Below are 12025 nucleotides of genomic sequence, written 5' to 3' on the forward strand. Positions count from 1 at the left end.
CTGGAATTACAGATGTATGCTATCACGCCTGGCTAATTTTTTGATTTTTAATAGAGATGAGGTTTCACCATGTTGGCCAGGCTGGTCTCAAACTCCTGACCTCATGTGATCTGCCCACCTCAGCCTCCCAAAGTGCTGGGATTACAGGTGTAAGCCACTGCATCTGGCAATTTTTAAATATATATAATTAAAAATTAATAAAAAACAGGTATTTGCAAGTTTTCGTTTTGTTATATGCTTATTATTCTTTATCTTTACATCAGGTTGCTGTGTCAATACACTTAGGAGATCATAGTTTCTAAATTGAAATACAAATAAATATGTCTGAAATTTTTTCTTTTTTCTTTTTTTTTTTTGAGATGGACTCATTCTGCCACCCAGGCTGGAGTGCAGTGGTGCAATCTCAGCTCACTGCCACCTCCGCTTCCCAGATTCAAGTGATTCTCCTGCCTCAGCCTCCAGAGTAGCTGGGATTACAGGCACCCGCCATGACACCCAGCTAGCTTTTATAAATTTTTTTTCTATTTTTAGTAAAGACAGGGTTTCACCATGTTGGCCAGGCTGGTGTCCAACTCCTGACCTCAGATGATCCTCCCGCCTCGGCCTCCTCAAGTGCTGGGACTACAGGTGTGAGCCAGTGTGCCTGGCCTGGAATTTTTTTCTAAAATTTACATTTCTGAGTTAAGAATGCTTAAAATATTATAAAAACAGAAGCACAATTCATTATGTGTTTCATTAATTACCTCTATTAAAAACAACACAATTATATTACAATAGGACAAAAAAATGTTTAAGCAAATGAAAACAAAACCATGACATACCCAAACTCAGGAGGAGGCAACAAAGGCAGTGCTAAAGGGAAGCTTACAGCTGCAGATGCTTAAATTAAAAAGAAGAAAGATCTCAAACCCATGGTAAAGGGAAGCTTACAGCTGCAGATGCTTAAATTAAAAAGAAGAAAGATCTCAAACCCATGGTAAAGGGAAGCTTACAGCTGCAGATGCTTAAATTAAAAAGAAGAAAGATCTCAAAGCCATGCTAAAGGGAAGCTTATAGTTGCAGGTGCTTAAATTAAAAAGAAGAAAGATCTCAAATCAATAACCTAACATTACACCTAAAGGGGAAAAAAAAAAAAAACTAATGACAAACCAAGCAAAAGGAAGAAAGTAACAGATTAGAATAGAGATAAGCAGAATAAGATCAGAAAAAAAGGAAAAAAAAAACACTGAGTTTGTTTTTTTAAAGATCAATAAAAATTTTAAAACTCACAGCTATATTAAGAAAAAAAGAGAAATCTCAAATACTAAAATCATAAATAAAAGAGGTGACAGTACAACAGATTCCACAGAAATGAAAAAGATTACAAGAGACAAATGTGAGCAACCATATGCCACAAAACTGGACAACCTAGAATAAATTTATAAATTCCTAGAAACACAAACCACCATACTGCATCATGGAGAAATAAAAAATCCAAAGAGACCTGTAACTAGTAAGAAGATTCAACCAGTAATCAAAAACCCCCCAAAAAAGAAAATTCCAGGTCCAGATAACTTCACTGGAGAATTTTACCAAACATTTCAAGAAGAATTAATGCCAGTCCTTTGCAAAATATTCCAAAAATGTACAAAAACCAGAAGGGGACATTCCAATCCATTCTATCAGGTCAACATTTATCTGGTTCCAGAGCCAGATGAACACCTTTTGTAATAAAAACACTCAAAGAATTAGTAATATAAGGAAACTCCTCAGTAAATAAAGATTATACATGAAAAGCTCACAGCTAACATCATACTGAATGGTGAAAAACTAAAATCTTTTCCTCTAGGATCAGGAATAAGATAGCAACATCTCTTCCTGCCACTTCTATTCACCACAGTACTGGAATTTCTACTCAGAATAATTAGGCAAGAGAAAGTAATAAAAAGCATGCAAATTGGAAAGGAAAAAGTACAAAATTTTGTTCACAGACAACATGATGTAATGTGTAAAAATCCTGAAATTCCACAAAATACTGGTAGAATAATGAAATTCAACAAAGTTTCAGGATACAGTAACACACACAAGTCAGTTGCATTTCTATAAACTAACAATGAACAATCTGCAAATAAAATTTTAAAAAGAGGCCAGGTGCAGTGGCTCACAGTTGTAATCCCAGCACTTTGGGAGGCCAAGGCGGGTGGACCACCTGAGGTCAGGAGTTCGTGACCAGCTGGGTCAACCCCATCTCTAATATAAATAGTAAAACTCTATCTCTGTTAAAAATACAAAAATTAGCTGGGCATAGTGGCAGACACCTGTAGTCCCAGCTACCTGGGAGGCTGAGGCAGGAGAATTGCTTGAACTTGGAAGGTGGAGGTTGCAGTCAGCTGAGATTGTGCCACTGTGCTCCAGCTTAGGAAACAGAGTGAGACACCGTCTCAAAAAAAAGAAAGAAAGGAAAGAAAGAGAGAGAAAGAAAAGAAAATAAAAGAAAAGAAAAGAAAAGAAAGAGAAAACAAAAGAAAAGAAATTTTTAAAAAGAATGACATTTGGCTGGGTGCGGTGGTTCATGCCTGCAATCCCAGCAGTTTGGGAGGCCGAGGCGGGCAGATCACCTGAGGTCACAAGTTCAAGACTAGCCTGGTCAACATGTAGAAACACTGTCTCTACTAAAAATACCAAAAAGTTAGCTGGGCATGGTGGCGGGCACCTGTGATCCCAAGTCCTTGAGAGGCTGAGGTTGGAGAATCGCTTGAATAAGGAAGGTGCAGGTTGCAGTGACCTGAGATAGTGCCACTGCACTCCAGCCTGGGAGACAGAGCAAGACTCCATCTCAAAAAAAAAAAAAAAAAAAAAAAGAATTATATTTACAACAGCATTATAAAAATTAGAAATAAGCTTAACCAATAGGGCAAAAGATTTGAACACAGAAAACTACAAAACACTGTTAAAAGAAATTAAACACAAATAAATGAAAAGAAAAGCTGGGTTTGCAGATTAGATGATTTCATCTTGGAATGATGTCAACACTACTCGAAGTGACCTAGATTCAATACAATCCTCATAAAGATTCCAATGACATTTTTGATAAACAGAAAAACCTATCTTAAAACTCATATGGAATCTCCAGGGCCCATGAATAGGCAAATCAATCTTGAAACAGAACAAAATTAAAGGTCTCAAAGCAATTATAAAACTGCAATAAGCCAAAAAAAAAATGTGGTCATGGCATAAAGACACTCTTGACACACTTATGGACCAACACAACAGAGACCTCAGAAACCAACCCTGGCATATATGGTCCGATGATCTTCCACAAGGATGCCAAGACCACTCAATGGCAAAGCACACTTTCTTCAACAAATGGTGTTGGGAAAATTGTATAACTACATGCAAAACAATGAAGTTGGACTCTTACCTTACACCACGTTAAAATCAATTCAAAGTGAATTATAAACCTAAATGTAAAACTAGAACTATCAAACTCCTAGGGAAAACAAATTTGGAAAATGCTTTATGACGATGAATTTGTCAATAATTTTTAGGATATGACATTAAAAGCTCAGGCAGTAAAAGCAAAAATATATCAAACCTAAAAACTTCTGTACCTGAAAGGTCACAACCAACAGGGTAAAAGGCAAACTGTAAAATTAAAAAAAATACCAGTTGAGTGTCCCTTATTTGAAATGCTTGGGATGTGTTTCAGATTTTGTAATATTTGGATTATTCTTACTGGTTGAGGATCTCAAATTCAAACACCTGAGTCTGAGATGCTCCAATAAGTATTTCCTTTGAGTGTCATGTTGGCACTCAAAAAGTTTCAGACTTTGGAGCATTTGGGATTTCAGATTTTTGGATCAGAGACATTCAACCTATAGTTGCTCATCATGTATCTCATAAGAAGTGAACATTCAGAATATGTAAAGAACTCCTACAGAGAGACTACCAGAAGCAGAGAGGAGCAAACACATTTTCACACTAGGGAACCTCCTATCTCTCCTGGATTCCAATTAGGGCAGAGTAAGTGCTAGTTCTCTGCCAACCCAGGATTAGGCCCTGCAGCTGCAGTGAAAATAATCACAGAAGAAAACTAAGAAATAAAAAATGGAGAAAGTGAGACATCAAACTAGAATTACTAGAAACCCCCAGGAAGAAGGAAAAAAAATCCAAGAAAACAGAAAGACAATCAAACCAGTTAATTAAACCTTGGTGTGACCAGAAGATCAGGGTTTCCTAAAGGAGTGGAAATTTATTGACTTGAAGACGATTTATTGATTACTGATTTGAAGAGGAAGAAAACCATGAATGGTCTAAAGCAAAAGCCTAGTGTCTGAAGAAGTCAGTAGGGTGAAAACAAGAGCTGGCCAGAATGTCCACAGATGGTGACAAGTTTGCAAAACCTTTACTAGACTACTTGTGAAGCTAACTAGAGGCCAAGGAGCCAACACTGCCCCTGTCCTTACAGAGAGACCCTACACAGGATTCCCAGATATACATGGAAGGACAACATCTTATCAGGTCCTCTCTGTGCAGATGTGGTTATCATCCCAAATAATGAGCTCCAGCCCCAAGACTGTTCCATCCTCAATTGCTTTGAGTGGGCAATGTAGGCTCTCCACAGACGAGCTACATGTAGGTTCTTTGGGTACCCAGATGGGAGCCGTGAAACATAAACCCTCCATGGTCAGGTGCGTATCTGTTTCCTGCCTTTTTCCCAGCAATCCCCAGGCCTCAGCAGCAGTGGTCTACCTCTGCTGATTCTCATTCAGAATCTAAACTTAGAAACAATTAGAACCTAGACCCCAATTCTACCTGAAAGTAACAGAATAACATAATCTATACCCTGCAGCATGACTGTTTGCCCAACGTAATGAGGATGAACTGAGAGATAATGAATGATCATGACCCTGGCCCAAGTAACAAGAATGAACTGTGAGATAAATGAATGATCATGACCAAAAAACCCCACTACAACACAACAAAATAAAGTGATTAAAAAATGGACAAAGAGCATTCATCCAAAGATGCAAACATGATATACAAATAGCCAACAGATACATGAGATATATGAGAAGATGTGTAACATCACTAATCATTACAGAAATGCAAATAGAAACCACAATGGGACATCACTTCAAACCCAAAAGAAAGTAACAAGTGCAGGTGAAACTGAAACACTTGAACACTGTTGGTGGAAATATGAACTGGCTCCTCAAAAAAATAAAATAAAATGACCATATGATCCAGCCATCCAACTTCTACAGAGACAGAATAACTAGTAGCAGGACCTCAAACAGATATGTGCACACCTATGTTCACAGGAGCATTACACAGCCACTAGGTGGAAGAAACCAAAACGTCTATCCAGGAATAGATGGATAAACAAAAGGATATACATATATATATAGAGAGAGAAAATATATATATATGAAGAAATATTATTCAGCCATAGAAAGGAAGAAAATCCTGACACTTCTGCACATAACATGGAACCTACTTAAAAAACAAATATTATATAACCCTAGGTATATAAGCCAAATTTTTAGAAACACAAAGTAGAATAGTACTTGCCAGGAGGTGGAAGGAAGGGGAAATTAATAGTTGTTGAATGGGTATAGAGTTTTCCAAGATAAAAAAAAATCTAGAAATCTGCTGCACAACAATGTAAATATTCTTAACTCTACAAAACTGTATACTTACAACCGGTTATGATGGTAAATTTTAAGGTATGTGTTTGTTACCAAAATTCGAAATTATAAATTATTTATAAAAATGATCTTTTTTGACACACGGTCTTACTCTGTTGCGCTGGCAGGAGTGGAATGGCATGATCACAGCTCATTGCAGCCTCAACCTCCCAGGCTCAAGCAACCCTCCCACCTCAGCCTCCCAAATAGTTAGAAGTACAGGTGCACACCAAGATGTCAGGCTAAATTTTGGTTTGGATTTTTTTGTAGAGAGGGTTTTGTCATGTTGCCCAGGCTGGTCTCAAACTCCTGGGTTCAAGCAATCCACCTCCCTTGGACTCCCACAGAGCTGAGATTACGAGCATAAGCCAACATGCCCAGCCTATAAAAAAATTTCAAAAAGCCAAAAGATTAATCAAACTGGAATATTTAGAAATATTTAACCCAAAAGAAGATAGGAAAGAATATATAGAAGATCAAAAGACAGACGAAGGCCAGGCATGGTGGCTCATGCCTGTAATCTGAACACTTTGGGAGGCCAAGGTGGGTAGATTGCTTGAGCTCAGGAGTTCAAGACCAGCCTGTGCAACATGGCAAAACCCTATCTCTACAAAAAATATAAAAATTAGCCAGGTGTGGTGCCATGCACCTGTAGTCCCAGCTACTCAGGGGGCTCAAGTGAGGATTGGTTGGGCCTGGGAGGCAGAGGTTGCAGTGAGCCAAGATTGCACCATTGCACTACAGTCTGGGTGACAGAACAAGACCCTGTCTTAAAAAAAAATAAACAAACAAATAGAAAATAACTAGAAAAATGGCAGACCTAAATCCAACCTTAGCAATGATTAGTTACAATGTAACTGGACAAATACTCTACTTAAGACAGAGACTGCCAGACCTGAGAGGAAGGCAAGACCCAACAATATGGCATCCACAGAGACACAATTTAAACACAAAGACACAAAGTATGAGAAAAAATATGCTATGCAGACACTAAACATAAAAACATGCTATCCAGACACTAATCATAAAAAGCTTCAACAGAGATGTTAACACTAGATGAAAGAGGCTTCAGAACAAAATATATCACCAGAAATAAACAGGGTAATTTAATAAAAATAAAAGAATCAGAGAGGATGATGTTACAATTATAAATTGTGCCTCAAAGTGCACACAAACTACACAAACACACACAGAGCCTCAAAGTATGTGAATCAAAAACAATAGAACAAAAGCAGGAAATTGACAATCCAAAATTATAGCTGGTGAATTAATACTGCTCTCTCAGTAACTGATGGAACAACCAGATGAAAATATAGGAAAATACGGATCTAAATGACAAAATCCTGACCCAAATGGTACTTGGCAGTGCCAAGATAGACTGTATGTCAATCGATTGAGAAAAGGTTCAAGCCTGAAATAGTATACAAAGTATGTTGTCTGAACACTTGAAATTAAATTAGAAACCAACAACAAATTGATATCCAGAAAAGCCTCAAATGTCTAAAAACCAAGTAATAAACTTTGAAATACCCTGTGAGTCAAAAAAGTATTCACAAGGGGAACTGGAATGTATTTGGAATAAACTTGTTATAAAAATCTCATTTCTGGTAGACTAAAGGTGACAAATTCTTTCCTGCTCCTCTCTCTGTGAGAACCAATTCCCCTTAAACCTTGACCAGACTAGTGACTTATTTGGCCAACAGAAGGTGACAAAGGTGGTATTTGGGGACTTCAGAAGCCAGGCTGAGAAAACAGAACACTTATCCAGGAGAAAGCCAGTCACTAGGCAGGAAATCCCACTCCCCTGAGACCTCATGATGGAAACCACAAGGCCAGTCCATGACTAGCTACACACATTGACATCCCCCACTGAGCCTCCAGCAACACCGACTCCCAACAACTAGTGAGCCTTCAGCAACATCCACTCCCAACCACTAAAGAGCCACCCTGCACACCACCCCACTGTGCTTTCACACAATCCAACTTGGCTGCAACTGTGTGTGAGATGAGCTGGCCACCAAGACTCTCTAAGCCAAAAAACAAGTAATAATGAGTTGTTTTACTTCAGAATAGATAACTGGAACAGAATATGGCAGCTGGAAATGAGCTGCTGTGGTAATCAGAAGCTACAATATGTGACACGACTGTGAGGCTGACCTGTAACTGGGCCTCAAGGAGACCATTCATGCAACCTGGAAGGGCATCAAGACTCTTGGTCAGGGCCTGAAGGACGGTGAGAAAATGTCATTGGAAACTGGAGAAAAGGCGTGAGAGTTACGTGCTGAGGGACTGTGGGAAAACTACGGCCACAACATGGAAACTGAAAAGGCACTGCACCATCTCAGGGATCTGCCTAAGGAGACATCTGGGAAGAACATGGAAAGTGCTACCAGCCTACCCTAACTGTCATTGAATAAATATGACAGGAGAGGGACATGATCTAAAGAAGAAGGTTCAGTTTTCAAACAGAATTTAGAGAAAATATAAAGAAATAATTTCTTGTCTCAAAAGGCCAAAGTAAAAAAAAAAAGAAAAGAAAAGAAAAGGAAAAAAAAATGAAAAAGAAGCCATTGAATACCCTATTGACCCTAAGAAAAAGGCAGGGAAAGTTGGTCAACGGCAACCCAGGCACCGAAGGAAAAAGAACATGGAGAATGACAAAAGCCCAGAGGGAGGAGTAAAAGGACACAAACACCATTCTCAGGGACCAGGACTGGGTGCCGTTCTCAGGGACCAGGACTGGGCACTAATCACAGAACTGTAACAGGCCCCCCATGGGAATGACCAACTCTTAGACGAGGCCTGCAGGGCAGCACTTCCCTCTTGCCTCCCACCAAAGCTTCTAAAGGGAAATGTCGACTGTTTTCACAGCAGTCCCCTCACTGCGGCTGAGTTTGTGGGCTCAGATGATAGCTCACAACAACCTGATTCAGTCCCCACTGTGGCTGTGTGTGGGGGGTCAGATGACAGGCCACCACAACTTGATTCAGTCCCCACTGTGGCTGTGTGTGGGGGGTCAGATGACAGGCCACCACAACTTGATTCAGTCCCCACTGTGGCTGTGTTTGGGGGGGGGCAGATGACAGGCCACCACAACCTGATTCAGTCCTCACTGCGGCTGAGTGTGTGTGGGTGCAGGTGACAGGCCACCACAACCTGATTCAGGATTCAGTTGGGCTACTAGCCAGTGCCATAAGTAAAACCATTCTGGGGCTCTTGAGAGGGGCAAAGCATAATTTGCATGTGGGAGAAACGTTAATAGTTTGTGGCCAGAAGACACGCTGTGGTTTATTAAAGACTGCTGCAGGTTCCTACTATGCTTCTCATCAAGAGGTGGAATCTAATCACCTTCCCCCCTTGAATCATGGCTGGTCTCAGTGATGAGCACGACTGGACAGTGTGGCAGGAGAGATGCTCTGGGACTTCTGAGGGGTGATCATGAGAGGCCTTACAGATTCTGCCTGGGCCTCTTGGACACACACCTTGGGAGAAGCCAGACAAACCTGACTACCTGACGCTGCCAGACTGGGAGGAAGTCCGTGCTGGCCACAAAGAGAGGGCTGGGTGCCTGCTCCATGTCCCCAGCCACTAGAGTCCTTCCAGATGAGACCAGGGACATCATGAAGCAACCAACCAACACCACCCTGTCCAGTGTCTTGACCCAGAAAATTGTGACATGTAAAAAGAATAAATTCCTGGTTTAAGCCAGTAAGGTTACGGGTACATTGTTATATCTCAGATAATTAAAACCTTGAAAAACTCATGAGAGATCACAAGTAGAACCTTGATCTGAAACATGGCATGTGGCGATTTATATTGAGTATTAGGTTAAAAATGCAAGAATGGAGCATAGTTAATATTTTACATTAAAGCTAAAACCATAATTGCCTACTTAAAATTTTCAGTTAATTAGGTTGTCACTTTTTGTTCTTAACCAAGAAATCAACTAGTTTTAGTCCATAAACAGTTAGAACTGATGCACACATCCGTTTTTCCTTACTCATTTTAAACAGCTATCTGAAATAGGAAGTGTAATATAATCTTTAAAGAATCTGAAAACATGACAGAAATGTTTAAACTATAAACATATATTGTATATGTTAGCATATTGTATACATTGCATATTAACATTAAGCTAGAATCATTGACATAAATTTATATAAACAAAAGGTATAAAATATGACAATGTTCTTCTTGTTTTTTGTCTTTGCATATTTCTTTATTGGCCCTTGTCAAAAGTGACCCACTAACTCCTGAATGCTTTGTCTCTCCCCAGGGATTCCTAAGGATGTCACCACAGTGTTGGCCAGATGCACAGGTCACAGGGGACTGAACCTCATCACCCCACAAACATACCATTCAGGTTTTGCCAAGAATGACACTGTAAATGTAACAAAGCTTCTGTGCTTGTTAGTGAACACCAACTCAGCTCCTCTCCTGTATTCAGAAATCAGGATGAGATGAAAACAACAAGCAGGCCAGGCACGGTGGCTCATGCCTGTAATCCCAGCACTTTGGGAGGCCGAGGCGGGCGGATCACCTGAGGTCGGGAGCTCGAGACCACCCTGATCAAAACAGAGAAACCCCATCTCTACTGAAAATACAAAATTAGCCAGGCGTGGTGGCAAATGCCTGTAATACCAGCTACTCAGGAGCTGAGGCAGGAGAATTGCTTGAACCCGGGAGGTGGAGGCTGCAGTGAGCCAGGATCACACCACTGCGCTCTAGCCTGGGCAACAAGAGCGAAACTCTGTCTCAAAAGAAAAAAAATTAAAAATAAAAGAACAAGGAAACAAAAGTAACAAGGCTTGAAGCCAGATGAGCCTGAATCTAAGCAAGAAAAGCCCAGAAGAAATCCCATTTTGGGTCACTGGCTGCATGGTAGTAATACCATACACATAAGGGAAGAGAGGAGGATGTGGCTTTCACTTTGAATTTTTTGAGCTTAAGGTAACTTTTGCGTAGCTACAAAGAAGAATTCAACAGAGATTTAAACCTATGATGGAAAGACTGAAGGGGTCCAAGCTGTAGAGAAACAGGACTGCAAACCACAAAGGGCAGAATCAGTCAAGGAGAGCTTCAGGGTGGGATGAACAGGGACCAATGGAACATTTGGACAAGCTGTTGAGAAGAAAGGAAAATTCAGAGAAAAAGAACTGTCAGTGAGGTCATAATAGGAACTGTTACAGTGAACTAAATATGGCCTGGGAAGGACTCTGTACTTCTAGATTTGAGTCCCTGTGGACAAACTGCAACCTAACTTAATAGGTAGAAAGACTGATAACCTAACTTTGGAGTATGCACCTGTAACTATAGCTGAGTCCTGGCCAATCCCAACAGCCAAACTTCTGCCACTCACACACTGCTGAGTGTTCAGCTGTGTTCAAATAAGGCAAATGCTGAGCACCGTAACCAGTCCAGTTGTTTCTGGACCTCACTGCTGAGAACTGTAACGGACCCAGTTGCTTCTGGACCTTACTCCTCACTTCAGATTTCTGTACATCATGTTCCCTTTATTACCTATAAATCTTCCACCATGTAGCTGTGCTGGAGTCTCACCGAATCTGCTGTGATTCTCGGGGCTGCCTGATTCGTGAATCATTCATTGCTCAATTAAGTTCCTTTAAATTTAATTCAGCTGAAGATTTTCTTTTAATAGATGGTGTCAGAAGTGGGATCTGTGGGAGCAGGACTGCTAGGGCCTCCGGAGCTATAGTGTGGTGAGCAGTGTTGCTAGGGCTTCTAATGACCCCCAGGAGTGCTGAGGTACAAGAAAGGCACCTGCAAGGACCGCTCTATGATGGCAGCAGTGGCCCATGTGGAGCAGTTGCTACGGAGACACTGGCTGCAGTGGGGAGGAGTGGCTGGGGCTGTGCACTCCTCAAAGTTAGTGGGAGCCAGGAACAGGTGGGAGACCCAGCCCTTCTAAATTGGCAGGAAGGAGCCCCACCCTCCCAGGCACAGCTGCAGCCATCCACCCATGACAGCAAACCCAGGCATCTTTGCACTCTCAGAGGCCCAGCAAGCCCCCCTGCCCCTGCAGGCCCAGTCATACCTGCTCCCACCACCTGGCATCTCTCCACTCCCAGAGCCCACTCCAACTTCGGATCCAAGTTGAGGTTGAACCCAGGCACAGTCGCAACCCAGCCCAGTTTGTGCAAGCTCAGGGCAGTGCTGACATGCCAGCCCCCTGCCACCTCGGCCCCCTCTACACTTTGGGAACTGATGAGCACAGTAGGGACGTTGAGGTGGGGCTAAGAGTGGCTCAGCACTGGCCTGAAGGCACTCCTCTGCTCGAAAAGCCTGGGCACTGTGGGCATAGCTAACCACCATGCATCTCTCTCAGCTGCTGAGAG

At 41.3% G+C, this 12025-nt stretch overlaps 1 long non-coding RNA gene across 1 annotated transcript in view; it reads left to right on the forward strand.

The window, feature by feature from the left end:
• LOC102723769 (uncharacterized) overlaps nucleotides 1-11209 on the forward strand; it is a 59129-nt gene extending 47920 nt beyond the window's left edge. Inside the window, exon 3 of the long non-coding RNA NR_110761.1 lies at nucleotides 9946-11209. This is a non-coding gene — a long non-coding RNA (uncharacterized LOC102723769). The remainder of the gene's footprint in view (nucleotides 1-9945) is intronic.
• Nucleotides 11210-12025: the final 816 nt, after the last annotated feature.

Source organism: Homo sapiens, chromosome 22 (assembly GCF_000001405.40).
Source record: "Homo sapiens chromosome 22, GRCh38.p14 Primary Assembly".
Taxonomy (NCBI): Eukaryota; Metazoa; Chordata; class Mammalia; order Primates; family Hominidae; genus Homo; species Homo sapiens.